Below are 26525 nucleotides of genomic sequence, written 5' to 3' on the forward strand. Positions count from 1 at the left end.
TCAAGCTCTTGTCTCTGTAGAGTGGCAAGTGAAAATATTCCAAGGGGCTCAAATTTAATTCAAGTAGTCAATAAACCACAAGATCTGTCTGCTCAACTATTTTCATACCAAATAGGATACTCCCCATCTAAATGTGTAACTGAGCTGAAAACAACTTTGTGCCTTTAAATATCTGATGTTGTGTCATGTTTCACTACATTTAAAGCCAATACAGTAAGTAGCCAGATCACAATATGCCAAATAGCTGTTTGTAGCATTTCCTGATATTTGCTAAGTAGAGAATTTCAAATACCCTAGGCACATTCTATTTGTGAATGGGATGATATATTTTCTTGCTTCTGTGTTGTATAAAATACTCTGGAGTAGTTAATTCTTTGCAAGTTTTTAAACCTTTCCTCATGGTCAAAAGCTAAATCATAAATCAAGAATTAATGTAAGAGAAAGTTTGAATACTCTCTCTTAATTCCCAGTTAGATTATCAGGACAAAACTTCAGGTAATTGCATGCCTAAATAGTAAGGTACAAATAAAAACAGGAAGAAAAAAATAATCCTCTAACAGCAAAATCAAAAATTAAATATTGAACCATAACTCTCTTTTCCTCTATAAGCCTAACAGTTCTTTTCCATATATGTAAGGAAGGCAAATATGCATTTTTTGTTTACAATTTAGGCTGGGACTGCTACAGTGACTCACCTGGAGTACACCCCAATGAAAATTTAGTGGGCAATAACACAGAACACCATGCCCATAAAATTATAAAACATTATTGGGGTTTGCCCATCCTCCAATTGTCTTGCTGAAGTCTATTTTTCTTCCTCTATAGGAGAAGCTATTTAGAGTCAAGCATCATTAAATCAAAATGCAAAGGAAGGAGAAATTGAATGTGGGTTAATTGCATTCTGAATGCAACTGAACCGCAGTTGGTACAAATTACTGGCCTATAAGAATGCATTGTGCCTACCAGGAAGACAAGTATTTTGGTGAAGCCGGAGTATGGGTGTGTACCAGGAAGTGGCAGCAGATGAGGATTCTGAGTGTGTTTGTGTGTGTGTATGTGTGTGTGTTGGCAGGTGGGGACACATTAGATCCTTGTATGTTGTACTAAGCAGTTGGTACTTTGTCCTGAAGCATAGCTCTCCCAGGAGAATTGCAGCTACTGTCCAGGAGGATCCCAGTCTATGCAATTTGGCACACTCTGTGTAATCTTCTCTCCTTTATCGCACAAAGAAGTCCTATACCTGCAATCTTGCTAGAGAAGTAAAACCTGTATTCCTTATCAGTAGATCTACAGGGTAATAAAGGGAACACTATGATGGGAGCAGCTGTAATGGAATTGAAGACCTCTTTCTTCTTGGCATCAACTGCCTGAAGATAAAAGGAATACAATTAATATAAATAAAGGGCAGAAAGGCACTGACTCTAAGGCAATGAAATTTTGTAATAGGAGTGGAAAGAAAGCAGAGATGAATGAGGGCTACAAGAATCACAACAGGCTCCTGGGAGGAGGTGATACTTGCTGTCCCTGCCAGATGTAAAGCATAATTTTCAGGGTCCTCAAGAATTAAGTGGCAATAGGACTCAAAAAACCATTTCTCCAAAAGGAATATAGTGATGTGCAAAACAGACAAATCTCTGGTCTCATGGCTCACCACAGAAAACACAGGTACTTGTATTTTTTTGCAGGGCCTTGTTAGGTTACCTGTACCCAAAGGATTTAGGTAACTCTTCCTTTATATATTTTCCATTTTATTTATTTATTTATATAGAATTATTTGCTTGCTTATTTACAATTTGTTTGTTTGTTTAAATTATAAAAGTAATATGTGTTTATGACAGAGAAGTAAAAACAGACCAGAAGTATAAAGTTTCTCTCTCCCCTGCCCTACCCAGTCCTTCCATTAAGAGATAACCAATGTTAAAGTGTTGCATGTGCATCCTTTCAGAAATTTTTCATACATGTGCAAGCATAGATTTATGTTATATATAAATATTATCACACTATTTTACTTTTTCATGTAACTGCTGTAGTGATAGCACCATAATGCTGGTATAAAAGGGACTCCACCAGGGCAATCTGGTTGGAAAGATGGTCTTGAAGCTCCATTGCAAAACACTTATGTAAAATAGAATATCAATTGTTCATATCAAAGAAAGGAATGTGCTGGAAAGTGGAGACAGTAAAGCCCCAGCAAGTAATTCCTTGGTTTTACCACTTAAACATTTTTGTATGATAGCACATAAATAGCTGCCTACGATTCCCTCGAGTGAATGGACCATAATTTATTGATCATTCCCCAACAGTAGACATGCAGATTATATGTAGAGTTTTTGCCTTCATAAACAATACTATTTTGAATCCCTTTGTACAAAGCTTATACTTAGGCAAGGGAACCTATAACATAATTCCTATAAGCAGAATTCCTGACTGAAAGGGAATATGCATTTTAAATGTTAATAGATGTTGCCAAAATTAAGCCAATTTTCCAGTTTGCAGTTAATGGGAGAGGATGTTGTTTTCTTAAGGCTTTCCTTGTAGAAAGAAAGTGCTGAGTAATGCGGCCACAGAACTAGTTCTGCTAGCTTAAGTTTCAAAGTCTACCTACCCATTTGCAACTAGGATCCAAGCCAGGCTTTACATGTTCAGCTTTCTCTGAGCTTTTGATAACGAAGCTGTTTACATTAGTAATCCAGCTAAACTGTGGAGTGGCATAGTCCCATTTACATTGAGAATCATTTTTGTTTTAGCTTGTGGGAGTGTAAATTACTATTAAAGGAGTTCCATTTCAAATCCAAAGAACATTCTATTGAGAAGAAAACTAATAAGAGAGAGGGAACCACGAAGGCCAAGTCTGAGCTGCTGACAGCAATGCAGATAGAAAGAAACAAGGCAAGGCAGAGAAACAAGTTCAGGGAATTGAATAAGAAACGGTGTCACAGTCACATGATCACAGTCATATGATCATGAAACAAAAGGTATGGTAGATATTTGCCTGGAAGTCCCTTAGGAAATGATGGCAGCAAGACCAGACGGCAAAAACAAAAAGTTGAACATCTTTGCCATTTTCATTTCATGTCCAAATGCTTCTTAGAAACATACAACCTTATTGGCATTAACATTTTGACATTTTATGTATAGATCCTCTTCTAAATAGAGTTTAGGTTTATATTCATATTATTGTAGTAAAATAACAGATGATCACTATTTTTTCAAAGATTAAAAAATATGACTCAGAAAAATGCGAGCATTGGTAATTTAGTTTTGGGCTTTGTCAAATATCTTTTAAAAAACTCAGCTAATAATACACTAAGGCTTCTCATACATAATTTGTATTGTTGATTAAAACCTAAGAATGGAAAGAAAAGGCTAAGTCTAATTTTTTTGCTAAAAGAATGAGTAAAAAGTAATCAGCCATGTTAATATTTCAAACAGCAAACTATTTGAAATGCATTTCTGCTTTGAAAGGAAAATTTGAGATGAACAAGTTCTATTATACACTATTGATAAAGAAAGAAGATATAAAAGGTACAATATACTCTTAAAAATGATTGCACTTTCAAGGAAACATAAAAGAATAGCTTCTTTTTTGGCCAGTAAGAAAACTGAAGCCCTGTGTAGTCATAAATAGCAAAAATACAACGAAAATCCTAATATGTGTGTGTGTGTGTTTTCTCTTCTTCAAGATTCCTATAATATCTAACAATGATATATTTGTAACTTACTCTGAATTGCAAAGCATGTATCAATTGTCAGTTATCAAAAGTGTCTCTGAAAATTTGAGGTAGCAAAAAACAAAGAAACAATGAACATGTTCATTTAGTCTTCCCTGCTTTTACAATTTGTCATTGAAACCTGTGTCTTCCTCCTAATCATATTTTCTTAAATTGTACTTTTATTTAGGATTTGGTGATTGAGAGTTTGCGTTTTCTGTTTGCTAGTTGATTGCTTAGGTGGCCAGGTGGTTGGTTTCTCTTCATCCAATTGCATACAATGTATTTCTAAAAGGATTTTTAAGGAAATGTGGAATATCATGTAGTAATATGCCCTGTTGCTCATTCCTCCTAAATCTCTCTCTTATCTCCACCTCTGCCTCCTTTCCCGCAACCTGCCTTGGTTTAGGCCCTCACCACTTCTCTACTGATGACAACAGCCTCTCAAAGCCCAGCCCCCTTGGCTCCTGCCTTGACGTTACTACCAATGGCCTCATCCTAAAGCAAAAATCTCATTATGCCTCTCTCCTGTTTAAAATATTTAATTGGTTTTAATTAGCTTCTCACTACCTTCATGATGAAATTCGAATTCCTTAGAATGCTCTGCAAGCCCTTTCATGACAAGGTCCAGGCCTGCCTCTCCAAATGGCATCACTTGTAAATGGCATCATTTACCCTATGCTCCAGCAGTAATAACACTATGCATTCACACAGGGGAGGTTTTGTGGGTGTCAGTGCTCTCCCTGAACTGTCATCATAGTATCCCCCCACTCCCACCCCCCACTTCAACCTGGAGAACCTCTAAAGTTGTGCTTTTCTGTTTTTCTTTTGCATATCATGTCCTGAGAATCTTGTTAAAAAGACTTTACTTCTGTGGGCCTAAGATGGGGCCCGATGTTCTGCATTTCTAATCAGTTCCCAGGCAATGCTGGGAACACATATTGAAGACAAAGCTGAAAAACCTTACTCTACCGTTACTCCCTCTGTGAAAAACTCTCCTGCAAAGCTGATCTACACAAAGCGTCCTCTTTCTAATGTTTATGACTTGTATATAGAACATGTACAGGTCTTCTTAGATGTCTCATGTCTTATTTAATTACTTGGTTATAGGTCTGTCCCTGTAATCACTTGTCCATCATCAAGGGCTGGAACAGTGACTGCTGCTCCTTGTAGTCCCAGCGCTAACATTTGGTCCAGATGTATAGGAATTTCCTAGAAGTATTTTGCATGGAAATTAGCGAAAATTTTTCACTTGGTGCCCGAATGATCATTTCATAAGGTGTTGTTAAAAATGTCCACTGGATGGAAGGTTACACTAACTTTTTAGCTCTCAAATTCGTGGTTTTTCTTTATGTTATTGACAATCTCTCCAATGGGGTTTTGGTTAGGGGGAGGCTTAAAAGTAATTGATTTATGATTCTTTTAACCAACATGTAAGTCAAGAGGCTGGCCAAGAGTTTGAAGAGCCCGAACCTGTTAGACAGTAAACCAATTATCTTTGTGACCTTGTGGGTGACTTCACCACCCCCACTGCATAGCACAGCCCTGCCTGTTTCCAAAACACCTGGCCTTGCACAAAAGAATGAAGAAAGAGCCAAGGCACAGAGAATATTCTCCAGCAGAGAGTTTGGGCAAGAAGTCTTAAAGATGTCTGAGTAGAGAGACAATTAGTGGAAACAAACATCTGTCCAAGGTCTCTCCCATCATGTCATGAACTTGACAAGAAAGGCCAGCAGTAACTCTTCCAACCGTGGTAACCAATGGCCCTGAAATGTGTTCAATATCAGGTATATCAGAGCCCGAGAGATAAGAGTGGTTTTCAATGCTGTATGCACGTTAGAATCACCTGGGAAGTGATATTTGTAAAATATGAACACCTGAGGCCCCACCCCAGAACAGCTAATTCAGAATTTCTGGGGGAATGGCCAAGGGGTCAGTAGATTTTAAAACTCAGGTGATTATACTGTGAAGCCAGAGTTAACAACCACTGATAGAGGGTAGTACCTTCTTCCCCTATAGGTGCCTCAGAAGTGAACATCTAACTTCAGCTTACACATCCCACTAATTGACCACTGAGTCTTACTTATTTTAGGCAAAACGAAACCAATAGAAAGTTTTGCCTTTTCTCTATGTAGAAGGGACTAATGATTCTATAAGAATTTTTAAATTTCTACTCACATTTCCCATCACACAGTTGTTGAGAAATTGGTAAGTTGAGAAAAAATGTGAGGTGTAGAAAGAAGGAAATTGAATTCATTTAGAAAAGAGAATTCCAAATGAGCTTAATTTCCTTTTTTCTAAATCTTAATAATCTACCTTGCTTTTCTTCTCCTTCCACTGCACCCTTTCTCCATGAATTCATCAGTCATAGTGGTAAGCTCACAGTATCCGGCAGCAGGTCAGGTGGGATCACACTGGCTAACAAAGGATCTGAGGGTACAATGCAGAAGTTGCCAGATAATGGGATTCAATTACATTTCTAAGCATAGACTTCTCCAGTGTTGGCTGTTACACTGCCCAATGTGGAAAAGCACTGCTTTATCTACATGGCAAGTGCTTCATACATTTTAGTTGAATCTGACTCGGAGTACCTCAATTTTTTTAATGAAATATTTGAGGTCTACAATAGTAAGTATAAATAATAATATAATGAAGACTCTTGTACCTATCACACTAAAGAAATAAAACCTAACATCTATAATCAAAATAGCCTATGTCCTCTTTATCTCCTTTCTCTCATTCTCTCCTCAGAGGTAACTGTTACCTTGAATTTATGATTCCCAACCCTGTTTTCTCATTTTGTTTGTCATTCCAATGTATGTTTTTATGACACACACAGTTTTGGTTTTGTATGTTTTCAGCCATATAAATGGCACTTTACTGTATGTATTTTGTGCATTTTCAAGCTTTATATAAATTGTATCATATATCCTTCTGCAACTTGACTCCATATTTCATTCTTGGGATGTATCTGTGTTGATTAAAGTAACGTTGTTACTTTTTATTGCTGTATAACATGCCATGGTAGGTAAATACCCCAGTTGGTCAGCTAATGGATTTTTGAATTGTTTCTAATCTCTTGCTGTCACAGACAATACAACATAGCTCCTTGTGCAAATGTGGGTGAGTATTTCTAGATATTTACATAAGAGTGGGATTGCTGGAATGTAGGGTATGCACAATTTTTAAATTTCCTAGATGTATTAAATAACACCCCAACCAGAAGTGTGTGAGCTTTCCTATTGCTCATATCCTTGCCATGTTGGCACTGTTAGACTTTTAAATGTTCAGCCAATTTTAACTGGTGAGTTTTCCCTTAAAAACCCTGAAGAGGGCAGCATATCCTGGTAATTGCTGCATCTTATACCTGCATTCCAGTTTATGGGTCCCTCCCTTCTTTACTGGTTGAAATCCTTTGACCTCAGTTACTCTTCAACCCACTCTCTCACCTCAGTCAGCTCTGGGCAGTATCTTAGAAGGACAGACAATATAACACTATCTCAAAGCTGAAAGTTACCTCCAGCTTTTTCATTCCACATTCCTGGCACACTTCTGTCCTCTGACAAGGAGGAGGTAGGGAAACAGAAACAAGTCAGTCTGGAATTAAAACACTTTTTCCAGTTCAAAGTAGCACAAGAGAGATATGATGTGAGTAGAGAGTAGTCTTCCACCATTCTAAAGCAGTGGTTTGTAATCTAAATAGAAGGGCATTGCACACTATCAAAAACTATGCTTATGTAAATGGGAGAAATACTGAGAAGTAGGAAAAAGTATTGCAAAGTGGTAGTAGCATTGTTTTTCTTCTAGAATAAAAGATATTTACTCCTTTGCCTTCTCAGTTACATTGTTCCTGGTTCCCTAAGGAAAAAAAAAGTGTTCAGCTTCAGAACATCTCCTAGAATTTCTCTCGTTTAATACCAAGCTAAAGTCCTGCCACTTCCAGAGTTCCACAGTGGGAATGCAACCTTCACAAAGATGCTTTCCTTTAAACAAAGCAGATGTGAAATTGAGCCATGCTTAAAGATTTGACATGGCTGCTTTAGGAGGGAATTTATTGTTAGTACTTTCAAAGTAGACCTAAAAACACCACTCTGCTTTTTTTATTCCTGAACTGGATTTTAAGATCGTATTGCTTTAAAATAAATGAATGAATAAATAATAACATTTTATTTTGGGGAGGAGGAAGTAGAAAAATAAATATGAATTGTTTTGGAATTGATTGCTATTTTGAGTTATTAAATTGTTTTCCCATCCATTGTGGTAGATGAAACTTCCTCCAAATGAGATCTGCTGCTTTTTCATTACTGTCTTGAACTCTTTTATATGCTGGTGTGTTTTATAAATTTCTAAGGTGCGCCATTTAGAGAGTCTGTGCTTCTGAACTGTTTGACCATAGTTTCCTTGTTCAAGGAACACCTCACTGGAGTTCAAAGGTCACACTTTGGAAAAATGCTAGCATAGCTATTCTAAAGGTGGCTACACCATCATTACTAACCATTCTGGCCAGAAATTCACAAGACCCAATTATATGTCATCTTGACTGAAATTCTTTCATGATAGAATATCTGTCTTGACATGTTGGTTGGTATACATATTGCTCTTGCATTGAATGCTGTTATGGAGACATTTGAAGCCAGTCTAATTTTTGCTTTATCCAATGTGACACTTTTTTTGTTTTTTTGTTTTCTGTTTTTTTTTTTTATTGTTGGTGGTGGTGGGTGTTTTTGTTTGTTTGTTTGTTTTCTCAAATTCCCAAGGAATGTCTTTATACTTGAATTGTAAGTATTCAATCAGGGCTGTGTTAAGCATTCTGTTACCAGTATTTCCTAGAACATGGTATGTTCTTTCAATCTATAAATGTGGTTATTCTTTCTCTTTAGTGAAATTTCCTTGTGTGGTATTTGTGAATACTTTTCCTGTTCCATTTATTGAAACTTCTCCTTCAGGGACATCAATTTCCTCATGTTAAGTGCTTTTGAACTCCAATCTGTCACCTTCTAATTCCTTTGGTTCCCTTGTATTTACAAGCCATTCCTCGAGGCCGGTAATTTTATTTGCAGCCATGTTTATTTTGTTCCTTGCTCTGTCACCTTTTAAAAATTCACTCTATAATATTGTTTTTGTACTCAGCCTCCTTAGTTCTGTAACCTTCCTGGGGTTCTGTCAACTCATCTTTGAGCTCTTGTTTTTCTGAGTTCATGTTCTCATTAACTTGATTCATAGTACAAAGCACTTCTGAGGAATTTTGTTTTGTTCTTTGGACTATGTTTTCTTTAAAAGAGGGAGTTTCATCTTTCTTTTGCATGCTATGTTCCTTTCTTTTAAGGTTGATTGGTTTTGTTTATTTTCATTTGGGAGCATTGCCTTAGCATGTTTGGATGTTTGTCACTGATTTCCCCCATCTTACTCATACCTGAACGCTTTATCTGGATCTTCTCTGTTCTATCTAGTATAGGTGACTTATTGACTCAATTTCCATAGACTCTAACTTTTTTCCCCAAAGCTATGGTTAAAGAACTTGATTTTGGATACCATCCACTTAACTGCAGCCTAAGGAAATGGTGCAGGGAGTAGAGAGGGAAGGGAAAGCTCTGCTGAAGCTGTGTGACATCTGAGTTAGAACTCCTGGGCTCTGCACTTTTGGTTGCTCGTGCTCTCTCTCTCTCTCTCTCTGGGATTTGTTAGATACTTTGAACTACATTTTAATCCCTCTCTTTAATCAGAATACATATCCATCCTGAAGGGGAACACTCTAGGATTTTTTAAAATCATTCAGCAAATTTTTATTGAGCCCCTCTCCTTTGCAAGGCACATTCTAATCTAGGTGCTGGAAGTAAGCTGTGTGAACAAATGAGACGATTCCCCTTTCTAATGAGTTTATATGCAATGTGGTATCTTTACCGATACATGCTCTGTCAGAAAGAAGCAGCCCACTTCTGTCCAATAGCCAATCCACTACCCTTCAGACAAAAATGAGAAAAATAAGGATAGTCATTTAGTTAGTTTCTCTCCAGATCTGAAGACTATAGTGAGGTCTTGAGAGTTCAGTAATTCACCAGTAAGGTTCCAGGGGCAGGAAGGGAGTTCAGGGTTAGAAGCTACACTGTACCACTCCAAGATCTGTTCTTTTGTGAGCCAGCATTGTATGTGTGTGTGTCTGTGCGCCCACACATGTGTGCACACGTGCATGCATGCTTTGTTTTGTTTTAATGTCCATATTATTAGGTTACAGTCTTTTCCTTATTTCATTGCTGACTTATTACTAGAAAGGAGGGAGCTAGTGGTTTTCATTGTTGGTATCCCTTGTTTTTAGTTCTGAGAGAAAGAGAAAGAGAGAGACTCTATAATCTGCTTTCATTCTATCACCTGAGCCTGGAGGCCTCAACTAGTTCTTTTAACTCTAATTAAGCCTTAGAGTCTGCAAGTATAAGACAGCTGTGAAGTAGCTCTGCCCTCAGAATTTTGTAAGTACTTTAAGACATAGACAAACACACATACACACAACAAAACAAAACAAAAACATAAAGCTGAGGTGGTTTGGTTGGGTTCCTTGCCAGCTTAGCCTCTTACTCTTGGCTAAAAAACATTTCAAGGACTTAAACTGTGGAATAGTTCTAAGAAATTGCTTAGTCTTATCCCTGGACACTGCAAAATGGATTGCCTCAGATCTAAGAAACCCATTTATCAGAAAAATTCTTCAATTTCATGATATGTTATGGTCGAGATGTTATTGCACAATCCCACAGAAATCTAGTCCCTCTCCTAAATATGCCGAACACCTATACAGATGGAGGCAAGCAGAGAGAGGAAGGTGAGAGTGAACACTTGTTCCTGAAATCTCCCAAGATACCGGCTCTGGGTTAGCATTAGAAGGCCTAAGCACCTGGATCTATTAACCTAAATAGAAAAAAGAAATAACCAAATACTTGTTGAAATAACCAACAAGTATTTGGTTATTTCTTTTTTCTATTTAGGTTAATAGATGGAGCATTACCTAAAAATGAGATGAAGCATCACCTACAAATGTCCCTCAAACAAGTCATACTTAGTTCAGATTATAAAGAGAGTATTTGATAAATGCTGTACGTATAAGGGAATTCGAATGGCACTAGCTTACAGCTTCTTGTGTCACTACCATGCCTCTAATGCAATTTCCCCCATCTAGAAATGTAACCCTCAGCCAGTTGCCTTGAAAGCTGGTTACCGTGGAGATGATTATCAGTATTATGATGACCTATTTAGAAGAATTTCTGCATCACCAGAAAACAAATAACCACAGAGAGAGCCTTTCAAATGAATCATGCTCTTTCTCTGAAAGTGCCTTTACAAACAAATGCCATGGATGTATTGTGTTTGTGTGCTGTGTGTGGATTTGTTCATTATTTGTATTTGCAAAGGTTTTAGTGAAATTCCAGTTGTCTTTAGGCATGCCAAGAGTAGAGAGGGTAGTACAAACAACAGGCATAAGCATATAGACATCTGTCCTCTTCCTACAATTTGAAATGCATGGCCATGGCTGTATTGATTTCTCAGCAATGTTAACATTTCTTTCATTTGTACAGTTTTTCTTGCTCATCCACTGCTTTTTGAGGCTTTTTAAGGACTGCTGGAATGTGGTTGGCAGGTGGTTGGTAAAGACTGGTTTTTACAAACTGATTGGCCATTAATAGTTCCTAAACACACTATGACTACTTGATGACTATTTTGATTTTCTCAAAATTATGTCATGAAATATTCTCTTAACTTCTGTTTGGTCTCCCATTTTTCTATAAAATAGTTTTGTGTGTGATTGTATGCAGACCTAGTGTTTTGTTTTTTTTTTAAGTTTTTAAATTTGTTATCCATTAATCATTGCCCTGCTCCTTATAGGAAAGACTGATTTTCAGCTGCTGCCCTTTTTGGTTTTGTTTTGCTTTTGATTTTTCTTCTTCTTTTTTTTTTTTTTTTTTTGAGACATTTAATTTGCACTTGTAAAAATTTCAGTGATAAAAATTAAACCTTTATTATGTTCATAGAAGCAGCAAATAACAATATAAGCCAAATGTTACCCCAAAGAGGTCAAACAGATCTAATATTTTCCTTCCAGTCTATGAAGGTCGTGTATTATGGCATTTTTATATTTGTTCTTATTGTATTTTCAGGCACACTCCTTTTTCTACTCTCATCCTTCCACCCACTGTCACTTCTTCTAAGGTAATGGCAGGAATGTTCATATTTTCTGCTGTTATTTCATATCATCTAGCAAAGTGCTGGATAATCGATGTTTAATAAACCTGACCCCTCATATAACCTCAAAAGTTTCAAAAGTTCTTTAACCAGATAAACTCCATTTTTGTCTGTTCATGTTCACAATGGCCTTCCAGTCTAGGAATCTCCATTTTTTAAACCATGTACAGGCAGTCTGTTTTCCACAGAACATTTTGGGTTTAAGTCAATTAACTAATTTTGGCCCCATTTTCAATTTCTATACCATAGACTTGTCCTTATGCCCAAAATCACATTGCTCTGAACTGAGGGCAAATATCAAATTCATATTAATCACCTCACTAATATTCTTAGGCTGGTCTGAATGCTATGTAAATCCCAATAAAAATCTTAGTGTGAAAAAATTTTCTTCAACTAAATATAACTCCTTCTCTTTCAATATTTTTTAGAAGTACATTGACATTTTAATTAACAAGTTCTTACTTAAATTTTAACTCCAAAGAGTCTAGCACAATATATTTAAGTAGTCAACTACACAGTCAGTGTAAAATGTTGACTTCTGTCCATCTAACACAGTTGTATAGGAACGGTTTTACCTGCAAAGCACTAATAATACTTATTGGCGTATGGCCTTTGACTCATTTATACCATTTCCTAAAAGAGGCATGAAGGACACAGAGAGCTTTTCCATGTAACTCAGAGCCCATAAATGGTAGCTCCTCTTAGAATATTATGTCTACTCTCTTATTCAATTATTCAATAAAGATTGTTAACTCTCCCTCTAAAGTGGCCTTCAAATTAAGTAAAAAGTTGTGAGTTGTTTGAATCATATTCACATCCAGCACTGTTTGATTAAAAAAAAAAAAAATAGCCTTTCTGAAACCAGACTTGGAGTCCTAATCACCCAGAATAGTTCCAGACAAGATTCAGAATCAGAACTCTGACTCTGCCCAACAATTCCACTAAATTAATTCACTCTGCACTCTCTTGAATGGATTTGGAAGGCAAATCATGAGCTTGCTTTAGAGTATTTCCTCTTTGTCTAATCTTCACTCCTAGAAATGATAGTGCTTAGCATTTAGCACTTGCAATCCTTCCCACCCTGAAGCTAAACTGGGAAGAATGAGAGCAGAGTGTTCTAACCTTATTCATACCACAGGCAATTATTCAAGGAAAAAAAAAACATATTTCACAGCCTTTAATTAGATAAACTTGCTTTGTGAATAGAACACAATCTTCAGAAGAATGATGTGGAATAACTTTTCTCCAGAAACATTCCATGGCTTTATTCCCTCTTCTCTAAGAAAATTCATGTCCTTAACTGCTAGCTATCCAAAGCAAATGATTAACACCCCATGTGTCTTGCAATATTGTATGATAGCGATAATCTAATATTGATAACCTGCAGAACTGCTCACTCCAGGAAGCTATCAAAAAAATGATAAGCCAAGTGAAAAAAGTACAGCCACACAACAGAATGTTAATATTTATGTTTCTAATAACATTTTTTAAAAGGTTTCTAATTAATGTAAATATATTATGATATGGTTTGGCTGTGTCCCCACCTAAAATCTCATCTTGAATTCCAGTCCCCATAATCCCCACATGTCAAGGGTGGGACCAGGTGAAGGTAATTGAATCATTGGGGGAGTTTCCCCCATGCTGTCCTCATGACAGTGAGTGAGTCTCAAGATATCTGACGGTTTTATAAGCATCTGGCATTTCCCCTGCTTACAATTCTCCTTCCTGCCACCGTGTGAAGAAGGACGTATTTGCTTCCCCTTCTGCCATGATTGTAAGTTTCCTGAGGCCTCCCTAAGCCATGCTGAACTGTCAATTAAACTTCTTTCCTTTATAAATTACCCAGTCTCAGGTATGTCTTCATTAGCAGTGTGAAAACAGACTAATACATATTAACTCACTACAGTTATTCCAGCTAATAATTTTTGTCATGTTCTATCCAATCTGGAACAGTACCTGTTAGGGTATTCCTGATGAGAAGCTCAGGGAGGGCACTGCTGGATAAATCAGCTGTTTACAAGTTTCATTCACCATTATGTTAGTGTTCAGTGAGTAAATTATGCCATTTAAGATTTCCAGGGACAATTCTTATGGGCCTGTGCCCAAGAAGTCCCCATAAGGTTTAGCGCCCTCACTCCAACATGCTAAGAGAATAAACCAAAAACCATGTATTCATTAAAGAAGTGATCATTGAGGACCCACTGTGTGCCATCAGGTTCTCAGCTAGTGCTAAAGATATGGTGGGAAGAAAACAATAAAAACGGAAATGGTTCCTGTCTTTTGAGGCTTAGAGATTAGGAGGGAAAAAGACATTTATAAGTCACACAAATAGAAAGAATGAATTGGCATTTTATAAGAATTATGAAAGTAAACTCTGCTTTAGAATGAGGAGTCAAAGGAGTTTCCGTGAATAAATGATGTTGGAGCTGAGCTTAATTGAAGAGGTATGGGAAAGGGACATGAGGAGGAGGCATCCCAGGCATGAGGCATGAGGAGTGGAACACATTCAAAGGGCTAAAAGGTCACTGAGGCTGGAGTGGAGGCAGCAAGTGGGAGCGTCCTGAGAGAAGAAACTGGAGAGGTAGAGCAGGAGCCAGATCATTCAGGCTCTATTTGTCTAGCTCAGACATGTCTGCATTTAACTTATGGTATAATTACTGGATTAAAAACAATATAAGGAGTTATACAATGTTTTAATCCTTCTTTACACAATGTGTATAATCTAAGTTGATAATGCTTATGAATGTTGAATTACAATGAATGTTCAAAGTCACAGGACTTCTGTGATAACTAATATTAACTGTGTGACTGTGGAGTGATAACTTTTAGTCTTAAGTACCTCATCTGTAAAATGGAGGTCATAGTACCTACCTCTCAGGGTAGCCACTAAGTCTTCATAGATAAATTGGAAAGACTGGATGGTACAGTGCCTGGTCAAAGCCTTTTAAAAATTAGAAGAAATATGCAGCACAGCCCTTATACCTGGGAAAGAATGAACCCTATCCTGGAACCCAGAGTTTAGAGGGCCCTATTCTGGTTCTCGCCTAGCTACACTCTCAAAGGGTGGAGAGTCTTCAAGTCCAACAGAATACACTCACCTGGAGGCCACACTGAACTCTGTATTCTAGATGATGCTCTGGATACCTGAGACCCCAAAGTTTCCTACCAAAATGATCCCATGATGATTCACGAGGCCTTTAAGTGTCTTTTCCCCAAGCATGCACCATCTGAAGACAGATGCATACCCCATGTCTGAGGGGTGGCTAGGGAGCAGTGGTGAATAGCACTTGTACATACAGGCAGAGTGTCCTCAAATGTATATGTGAAACTTCTTGCAATGCACGTTGTAGCTTAGTGTGAGAAGAGGAGGGGGACGGGACAGGGCCAGAAATAAACTTTACCCACACTACCAGGTTCTATTGTGGGACCACAGTCTGAGAATTATAAATGTAAAGCTGGATTCTCTGGTCATTATTAACATTTATTTGTCAAGATATGAGAACAGAAAATACCTATTGCCTTAGTCCACTTGCATTGCTATAAAGGAATACCTGAGGCTGGGTAATTTATAAAGAAAAGTGGTTTATTTGGCTCATGGTTCTATAGGCTGGACAAGAAGCATAGTGCCAGCATCTGCTTCTGCTGAGGACCTCAGGAAGCTTCCAATTGTAGTAGAAGAAAGGGAGCAGGAATCACACAACAAGAGAAGGTGCAAGAGAGAGAGTGGGAGGAAAGTGCCAGGCTCTTTTTAAAACTCAAATTTCTTGGGAACTGATAGAGCAAGAACTCACTCATTACCATAGGATGACACCAAGTCATTCATGAGGGATCCACCCCCATGACCCCATGACCAAAACACCTCCCACTGGGACCCACCTCCAGCATTGGGGATTAAATTTCAATATGAAATTTGGAGGGGACAAATATCCAAACTATATCACATATGTTAACAGTTGGATTTTTTGTTTTTGTTTTTGAAACGGAGTCTCGCTCTGTTGCCCAGGCTGGAGTGCAGTGGTGTGATCTTGGCTCACTGCAACCTCCACCTCCTAGGTTCAAGCGATTCTCCTGCCTCAGCCTCCCACATAGCTGGAACTACAGGCACCAGCCACCACGCCTGGCAAATTTTTGTATTTTTATTAGAGAGATGGGGTTTCACCATGTTGACCAGGCTGGTCTTGAACTTCTGGCCTCAAGTGATACGCCCGTCTCGGCCTCCCAAACTGTGGGGATTACAGACCACTATGCCCAGCCTGGATTTTTATTATGATTTTTTTGTTTGTTTGTTTTTGTTTTTTGAGCTGGAGTCTCACTCTGTCACCCAGGATGGAGTGCAGTGACGCGATCTCGGCTCACTGCAAGCTCCGCCTCCCGGGTTCACGCCATTCTCCTGCCTCAGCCTCCCGAGTAGCTGGGACTACAGGCACCCACCACCACGCCCTGCTAATTTTTTTGTACTTTTAGTAGAGACGGGGTTTCACCGTGTTAGCCAGGATGGTCTTCATCTCCTGACCTCGTGGATTTTTAATTTATAACTTTTAACAATTAGACATATGGCACATGGACTTGGATTTGTAGTGTTAATCTGGGCAAGTAAAACAGGGAGGTCTGAGCCTGTGATTTACAAAAGTCTACATATCAGAGAATTCCATTTCATTTAAACCATCTTAAGATATATGGATTTCCTATTTATGAAAATCACATTAGGTTAATCACGAATTTCCATTATGCACAGGAAGACTAGAGAAAGCCAAGGGAAATAGTAAGTTCAAAGGAAGACAGTCCCTCTAGTGACCTCTTTCCCTCTCTACCTAAGCATACCACTATCCAAATATCACTGAATGTATGTCTTATGAAACTGTATATCTCTATGTAGAGGTGGAAGGAGAAAAAAACATGAAAGATGATGTTTAGAATTAACAAAACGTTAGTTCTCTAGCTGTAAAACTTGTTTGTACTCCCTGACTATAAAGCCTCAAATTCAAATTGAGCATTTCCAGCTGAGTGAAAGGTGCCTGCCTGCTCTGAGTTCCTGTCACAGTTATTGCTGTACATAAGTCATTTGGCAAGAAAACACACACGGTCTTAGGCTATCTTTCCTACTACAAAAAATATGGACTAATTTAAATATAACTTTTTTAGGAATTGATGTCTTCTCTTCCCAACTGAACTATAAGTTCTTTGAAGAACAAATTGGAATCTGCTGTTTTCTGTATGCCTTCATTCTCTTGCAGCCCCTAAGAGTTGCTTAGGAAAGCCGGGCATGGTGGCTCATGCCTGTAATCCCAGGACTTTGGGAGGCTGAGGCAGGAGGATCACTTGAGTTCAAGAGTTTAAGACCAGCCTAGGCAACATAGCAAGATCTCATCTGTACTAAAAATCAAAAGAATTAGCCAGGTGTTGTGGTGTGCACCTGTAGTCCCAGCTACTTGGGAGGCTGAGGTGGGAGGATCACTTGAGCCCGGAGGTTGAGGCAGCAGTGAGCCATGATTGTGCCACTGCACTCCAGCCTGGGCAACAGAGCAAGACTCTTGTCTCAAGACTAAACAAAACAACAACAACAAAAGAGACGCTCAGTAGGTATTTATACTTAACTGGTTCATTCAGGTATCTAGCAAATATTGACTGGATTCCCACCATGTGCCAGGCTCTGTGTCAAGCATGGGGATACAGAGTTGAACAAGACACTGGCTGAAAGATAAATACCTGGCACATAACAGACACTCAGTGAGTGAGTGAATAAATGAATGAATGAATTCTGTACCACAAAGTTAAGAGAAAATATCAAGAAAACTGGAATCACCATTTAAGTTGTCTTACATCCGAAGTTATCAAGGTGAAAGATGTCAGCCTGGCAGAATGCCCACAATTCTAGAAAATCTGGGGAAAACAAGACAGTCCTAGCATTTGTTCCTCTGGATCATCTCCATGACTATTTAGTATGTGGTGCTAGAATCTTGCAAAGAATTAAAACTTTTCATAGAAACCAAATTTTCTATATAAGAAATTTAACTAATACCCCCACTCTCACTTCTCAGAGACAGAGCAGTGTATGTCAAGAAATTTCTTTTGTCAAGGAAATCAGTGTATACAAAATATTATTGTATTTTTTACTGAGATCTGAAATACGAATGTGTGGTGATTGACTTTAATCACAAATTTGCTTCATAAAAGTCTGTGGAATCAGCACAGAATTATATTACTCCATGTCATTTTCCTATATATGGTATAATATTAAAGCCATAGTTTATTTTATTTTATTTTATTATTTATTTATTTATTTATTTATTTATTTATTTATTTATTGAGATGGAGTTTCACTCTTGTTGCCCAGGCTGGAGTTGGAGTGCAATGGCACAATCTTGGCTCACTGCAACCTCTGCCTCCTGGGTTCAAGCGATTATTCTGCCTCAGCCTCCCAAGTAGCTGGGATTACAGGCATGTGCCACCACACCTAGCTAATTTTGTATTTTTAGTACAGACGGGGTTTCACCATGTTGGTCAGGCTGGTCTCGAACTCCTGACCTCAGGTGATCCCCCTGCCTCGGCATCCCAAAGTGCTGGGATTACAGGCATGAGCCACCATGACTGGCCCTTGAGCCACCATGCCTGGCCCCATAGTTTATTTTTATTTTCTCCTTCTAATATTGTAAGAAAACTAGATTACCAAGGTAGAAGTTGATCTCTCCCTCAAAGCTATTTATCTCCTTGATGTGCAGTATGCAAACTGATTTTAAACAGAATTTTGCAGCTTTATGAAAGAGAATCACATTTGGTCATCAATGAATTAAAATGAAATATCTCTCTGGAAGGATAAGGAAAATCAACATTCAAATATAAAAATTTAATAATAAACCAACTAACATGTTCAAGGTTTCTCTTTTTAAAAAAGGGCCTACATTATTAATACTATAAAATTTCAAACCAGATATTATAGATCTTAAAAAAATTGTCATTTTTTCTTTTTTTTTTTAATTATTATACTTTAAGTTCTAGGGTACATGTGCACAACCTGCAGGTTTGTTACATATGTATACATGTGCCATGTTGGTTTGCTGCACCCATTAACTCGTCATTTACATTAGGTATTTTTCCTAATGCTATCCCTCCCCCTGCCCCCCAACCCCACAAGAGGCCCCGGTGTGTGATGTTCCCCTTCCTGTGTCCGTGTGTTCTCATTGTTCAATTCCCACCTATGAGTGAGAACATGCGGTTTTTGGTTTTCTGTCCTTGAACATTATCACTTTTTCTAATGGGAGAAAACAACTGCATTGTTCATCCTCTTCCAAGTCCATAGGCTCAACAAAGTCACTTAAGGTTAGGAAGGGGGTAGCACAGGGAAAGAAACTCCCTTAAAAAAATAAGTTTCTTTTCTTTTTTTTCCAGAGGGAGTCTTGTTCTGTCACCCAGGCTGGAGTGCAGTGGCACAATCTCAGCTCACTGCAACCTCCACCTCCCAGGTTCAAGCAATTCTCCTGGGCCAGCCTCCTGAGTAGCTGGGATTACAGGCGTGTACAACCACACCCGGCTAATTTTTGTATTCTTAGTAGAGACAGAGTTTCACCATGTTGGCCAGGCTGGTTTCGAACTCTTGACCTCATGATCCGCCCATCTCGGCCTCCCAAAGTGCTGGGATTACAGGTGTGAGCCACCATGCCCAGCCCTATTTTCTTTTTTAAGCAGAGAAAGAAGCACTGAGACGTTTTCAGCTAAGAAAACTTAGAAGCATTACCCAACCCCCTAGGAAATATACTCAAAAACTTTGAAAAGTACTAGAAATAGTTCAAAATGAGGAAATGAGAGTGATTTTTTTCACTTTTTAGAAGCATTTCCAGGTCTCCCTCAGTTATCCTAAGATTATCTCAGTCCATACACTGCCTAATTCTTAGATGGCAGAATGTTTAAAAAACATGCAGATATCTTAAAGCAAGTGCGTTCAAGGAATAGAGAGTTAATGAAAGTAAAATTGATTCTGGCCAAACCAATTGTAGAACTGAGTGAGCCTGAGTAAGCCACTGAAGACCAGGAACCCGTGTAGTCATATGACGTATAAGATACCCTCTATTCTCACATTGTTTTCATTTTGTACTCATGTTAAATTGTCTGGGGACTCTCTCTATGTGGATAAGAAGTAGCATTAATTTGTCATATTACATGTACATTTATTAAAAATCCTAGCAGCAATGTTACCAAGTAACAGTGTTACTGATATTATTTCATCAATTAGAAATGCTGAATTATTTTTAAAGAAAAATCTCGCTAGTGACCTTTCATCTGACGTAAATAAGAGGCTTAACCTATATCTCAAAAAAAAAATCAAGTCAAATTTACCACTTGTAATTTTGTTTGCATTACTGAATCATTTGACTTGTTTTTGTCTCTGTGTTTGTTAGTCAGCTCATACAAACAGTTTATCCTCAGTCATTCCACCAAGCTCTTTGCAGTCATCTAGAAAGAATCAGACATTATTACTACCATTCTTGTTTACCCTTCCTGAAAGATTTTCCAAAGAAAAGGAGAAACAGGCTTGAATTATACATGAAGAATTTCACCATAAAATCTGAACAAAAAACATCCAGATTATACAAACGTATTGTACTTGCCCCTCTACTAAGGGTGGTGCTCCAACCCTCACACTGATATGTCAACTGCCCATAACCATGCCCCACCTGAGAATTCTTTCTTTGCCATATCCTTGTTTTCCAGCTTTTGTATATGCATCCCTACATTTTTAGTCAAGAAGCTGGCAGTCACATGCTGTCCATTTGCCAATGTTGGAAATGACTGTTGGAATTCAATGGTTTCCCCCACCACTAAGAAAAATGCTTTTCATTTAATTCATAATAACAACAGTTTGCATTTATGTTTTTTATCTGTTTCAAAGCACTCCTCTGCCACCATTAATGAACTAAATCAGCCTTTGCTATTTTATGATCTGTCTCATTAAAATGGAGTTGATTTTCTCTGTGGTAGTCACTTGCATAATGTTGTTTTCTTCTAGCAAACCCTGCACTTAACTAATGTAAATTCATTTTTAAATTGTGTGTTTACACAGAAAATTTTCCCCAAATATATTTTTAATGCTGCATCCTTTCAACAGCATTACAGGGAGTATTTTATTCTATATAGACATTTTAAACTATAAAGACACTTAAATGCTTTAATGTAGTCTTCTCTAAGTACTTGTAAATTATTTATAAAGACCCCCTCAAGTAAATGTGTTGAAACTGCCAGTGGTAGAAACAGAAATTGTTTGCTCTGTGAGCCCTATTAATACTTAATTATTTGTATAGTATTAAATGATTGGCTTACTGATGAACTAAGGCTTAATAAGTGAACAAGAAAACTTGCAGTTGGCAAAGAAACTCTGAATGTTAAATTTATTATGGTTTAACTCTGTCTCTGTTACTACTGGACCACTTATACAAGTGCCTGATGGCTCATTCCTAGGGATTTGATCTAATGTGGGAGGAAGATGTCTCTCTGCAAATAAGTGCAGGCACACACAAGTTTAGGCAGAGATGGTGTTCTAGTGACTCTAGGTTGAGAAACTATAAATATTGGTTGGTTGCCGCCCACCTTCCATCCTGCCTTCTTTTAGGTAGAGACTTCTGGCTTCTGCTTGAGGAACCACCCTATCCTACTCTAGCCTTGTGCTTAGAATAAAATTGAGCTTACCCCCAATTCCAAAGGTAGGTCTACCTGGCCTTCCTAATGATTTAAAGATAGACACATAACTCAACCTAGCTCATCACATTCTTTTAGACACAGGGATTAATATAGAATAAGCATTTCATCTATGTTAGTCCAATCAGAATACACTTAGGACTTGCCCTGGGAATTCTGGATGTAGACTGTCTTTTCCCTTGGGTGGTATAGTGTGATGATATAAGACTTGTAGCTGGTGCAGTCATTTGCATCCATAAGAGGAAAGCCTAGAATGGCTGGAAAGCAATGGCTGGGACCTTGCTGATACTGTTGGATTTATGTTAGATAGGGAACAGACCAAACTGCTGTAACAAAGAGATTCTAAAATACAGGGACTGAAAAAGATAAAATTTCCTTTTTAGATTCTTTTTTTGTCTTTTGTTTTCCTTTTAGTGGAGAATGGGGTCTTGCTATATTGCCCAGGCAGATCTCGAACTTCTGGGCTCAAGCTATCCTCCCACCTCTGCCTCCCTAAGAGCTGGGACTACAGGAGTGAGCCACTGCACCCTGCTAAACTTTTTATTTTCCTTACGTCTCTGTCTATCTACCTCATAACTATATGGCTGGCCAAGAGTGATAGGCAGTTTGGGGTCATGGGGTCAGTTAGGGACCCAGGATCTTCCTATCTTGTTGTTCTGCTGTCCTGCTAGGGTATTGTCTTCATGTTGCAAAGCCAGTGATGCTTCACCACCCTCCCATCACAGCCTTGTTTCAGTTACAAGAAAAAAGAAAGGAATAGTGGAGGGCAAGAAGCTTCTTCTAATGCAGGGCTTATCAATCTAAGCTCTATTGACATTTTGGGCCTGGTAATTATTTTCTGTTTGGGGTTGTCTTGTATATTGTATGTTTAGCAGAATCCCTGGCCTCTAGTGCCTAATGCCTATAGCATCCCTCCCTCTCTCCTAGTAATGACAATCAAAAATGTCTCAGACATTGCCAGCTGTCTGGGAGGGAAAACAGCCCCCCGCTGAGAACCCCTGCTTTAAGGATATCTATGGAAGTTATACATATCACTTCCCTGTAAGAGTCAGAAGATAACATGTGGACACACTGAGTCATAAGACAGTCTGGGAGAAATATTTCTAGCTGGGTGAACTTTTGCCCAGGTACAATTTCAGGGGCTCTATTGCTAAAAAATTAGGGAAAATGAATTTTAGGGGACAATTCAAAATCTCTTCCACACAGCTGTACTTTTGAAGCTTTCTATCATATTAGCCAGTAAGTTACCTTTACAATTTAAACAATTTGGAATAGGTTTTTCGGTCACTTGAAGTTCAGAGCCCTAATTGATACCAGTATTATTATCTTTATCCAACACTGTAAGTTGAAAATAGTGAACATTATCCAAAGAAAAAAGGATAAAAGGAATAATACCTGAAGATACTCAGAAGCTGGGTACTGGCTGAGAAGGGATTGAACAAAACAGCAGAAATGAGGCTGTTTCTTATCAAGAGAAATATGGTAGAAACGGAAAGGCCATGGTCACAGGAGCCCACGGTCACTGTAGTAGTTAAGAAAAAAGGCAATATAATTATGCTAAATTACCAAAATGAAAACTGCAGGCATCTTGCATTATTTGGCTTTGAACTGCTACTTTCTAGTTCTCATTGTAAATACAAAAAGCGTTTAGTGGCTCCCTTATATCTCACACAAAAGGATCATTGCTTACAGCCAGCTGTTTGGCAATTATATTTCTATGAAGTTAGCATAATTTGAGATTAGAACTGCCTGAGAAGAGGGGGGTGGTGATAACATTCTAGTGTATTGAAGTAGGGTATGGAATAGTGATGGTGGAAGCTCTGATTTTAGAAGTGAATGGCCTTTCCAAAGTTCATCTCGAAGCCAACAGTTCTGAATTCAAAACATATTTTGCCATAGGAATCTTATTTTTTTAAGTTATTAGATTAGCACAGGAGTCCTCCAATACCAGAAAAGAAAGAGACATGTACTTTACGGTAGTACAGAAGAAAATGCTGCAGGGCAAAGGAAGATTTGTCTGAAGGTTCAGACTGAGGAAATCATTAGTAAAATCTTCAGGGAAGTGGTGACTTTTAAACTAAGCTTTAGATGAGGAAAGAGAGAAAGGGCCTTTCAGGGTGAAGGACGGCCAGTTCAAAGACACAGTATTTAAAATTCTCCATGAGGAATAGTAAGTGCCTACCATGAGTACAGCATAAGGTTTATGGAGATATGACAATAAGTTAGGACGGGGCTGTGAATGTATGGTGGAGTTTGGATTTTTTTAGTCCACAAGCCACTAAAGAGTTTTAATGAGGAGGATAGTATGATCAAATATAGCTTTAATAATTACATGAAGAATGCTTTGAAATTGAGGACATTACTGCAAGAGAATTGGATTTCTGATCTTGAGACATGGCAGTGGGTTAGAAAGAGAGAAATCACCAGAGAAACAACGTGAAGGTAAATTGGCATGGGAGGTAGAGAAGAAAGAATCAAATATGGCTCCAAATTTTTAGGTCTACGAGGTTGGAATCATGGCACAAGGATAGGCTTAAAAGGAAAGGAATGAGCTCAGTAGGTATCTGTCTGCAGGATAAGAGAAGAGTTAAGGTGGTCATGGCCTTATCGTATAGCATATGGGCTACATTTACATTTCTGCAAAGCTTGCCCATTGGGGTCCCTATAATTGGAGAAAAATCACTTACTGAATTTTGTACCTAGTTCCAGTCTTCCTCCAAGTTTACTTTATATTATTTGTTTGGGATATAGCTCCACATGTTGAAACTGTGCCTCTAACACCAGTGTTGGTGAAGACATTGCATTCCAGTGCCAGATTCTGTGGTCAGAAATTTTGTTTAACAGAGGTAGCAATAATATTGGAAGCATAGGTTGCATTGTAGAGTGTCTGAGAAAAGGGGTGCAGAGAAAAATCCTATCAAACATGTGTTAAAATAATGTCAAATCTGATATACTCATAAAAACATGCCCTTGAACATCTTGGGGCAGAGGAAGGGATGGGAGAGAATAAAGGAGGATCATCTCATGCTCAAAGAGAGAAAAAGAAGAGAGCAAAGGAGAGTTTCGCAGGAAGGGTACTGTGGAAACGCCAGCAAAGGTGGGATCAGGAATTATCTGGAAAAGAGAGAATTTCTGGGGTGTCTTTTGATCCACATCCTACTTCCTTATTTCTATTCCATCCAGGCAGTTGAAGTCATCAAACCAACCAAGCCTTTGTATAGCATGGTAGGTGATGGAGAAGGACAGTAATTGGAACAGTAAGGAAACAGAGGCATATCTCATATGCCATATATGCCTGTATATCATATATCATCTCCTCTTACTCCCTGGCCAAAAAAAAGATGGCAGATTCATTGTATCCAGGATATACTGATGGAGGCAAGTAGGATGGAATGCCATGCCTGAAGGACTAGGTGGAGGTGATAGTTCATGCCACCTAGAGCTAGATATTGGAGCATCAGGGCTAGATCAACGTGCTAGGTACTGATTGCTGGAAGGAACCCTTCAGAAATGAAACTCCTACCAATTAATATGAGAGATCTATGTTTCACTCAAAGTTTATGCCAGAATAGGACTAAATGAACAAAAAAGAATGGCACCAGGCCGCAGGTGTCTGCCCCATGAATTGTATTCAGAAGGGGCTGCCCATTTGGCAGAGTTGTAGAATTGCTAGTTCATCTTTAGAGTTGCTCATAGACTGGAGCTGATCAAGTAATTACAAAACCAGTCAAACAAGGTCTATATCCTCTTCCTTGAAAATAGCTAGTGAGACCAAAGTAGTCATCTGGTCACCATGCTAGGATCCTCTGCTTCCCTCTCACATGGCATAGTCAGTGTTCTAGGTCTCCACTGTCTTGGAGCTGAGGAACAATTTGATTTGATTTGGTAAGTCATATCCCCGTAGCTTTAACACAGTGACTTCCTATTCCTCATTCTGAATAGGAAAGAGTTTGGGGTGCAGGGTAGTTTTACAGCTAAGTGGAAACCAGAAAGAAGAAAACAGACAGTATAGAGTTTTCTCAGAGTAGAAAGGAGTCACGAGAAAAAGTAAGGGAAGAGGTATGGATATTACCTCACTCCAACAACCAATACATACTACCACATCTCTAACAAAAATAAACCTCAAGCCTGAGGGATTCCTTTTCTCTAATTCCTCATTTTCAGCAGAATAAGGAAAGTAGATACTTCAGGCATAATATGCCTAAGTGTATCAACATTAGCTGGCCTCAGAATCTGGAAAGAAGCTCAGTAAATCAGTTTTGATTTACACTATCCTACAGCCTCAGTAATAAGATTCCACCTGGAACTCTGAGTTTAACTTTTCAGCTGTGTGTAATTTGATCTATTGATGTCAGGAACAGGAGCAAACTGTACAGGATGTTGAATCAGTTTCCCATCTCACGCTGCGAGACCACCTCATATAGGTGGTAATGAAAGAAATGTTCCCTTTGTCTTTTATCTCATACATGATGACATTCTTCAAAATGAACCAGTTGTTTAGAGCGGGTATGCTTCTTTCCAGAAATAAATTGGTACTGGGATAGCTTGGCTTACTTGTGCAGCAAATGGGAAGACTCTTTCCCATTTGCTAATGGTGGTTACCAATTCAGCAAAGTGAGTTGAAGGAGAGTCTGATTCACAGATGCTGACTTAGATGTTAGCCCTCTCATAAAACCATAGTAATAATTAACAATGAAATGTGCCAGCCACACTTTGAATCACTTTCCATGTGGTAACTCAATTTAATTTTAACAACTTTATGAGCTAGGCATTATCATTTTCACTACTTTACAGTTGAGGGAGTTATGCCACAAAGAGGTGAAATAACTTCTCCAAGACCACACAGCTAGAAAAAAGCAGAGCCAAGATCCAAGTTAGGTTGGCTCTAGAGTCTGTACTTGT

The 26525-nt window shown here is 38.4% G+C and overlaps 1 protein-coding gene and 1 non-coding gene across 17 annotated transcripts in view; both read left to right on the forward strand.

Annotated features, from left to right (window-relative positions):
* SYT1 (synaptotagmin 1) overlaps positions 1 to 26525 on the forward strand; it is a 588027-nt gene that overhangs the window by 549331 nt on the left and 12171 nt on the right. The window lies entirely within an intron of this gene.
* MIR1252 (microRNA 1252) lies at positions 5945 to 6009 on the forward strand. The gene has a single exon (NR_031700.1). It is a non-coding gene; the product is annotated as a microRNA 1252 (primary transcript).

The sequence above is a fragment of the Homo sapiens genome, chromosome 12, assembly GCF_000001405.40.
Source record: "Homo sapiens chromosome 12, GRCh38.p14 Primary Assembly".
NCBI lineage: Eukaryota > Metazoa > Chordata > Mammalia > Primates > Hominidae > Homo > Homo sapiens.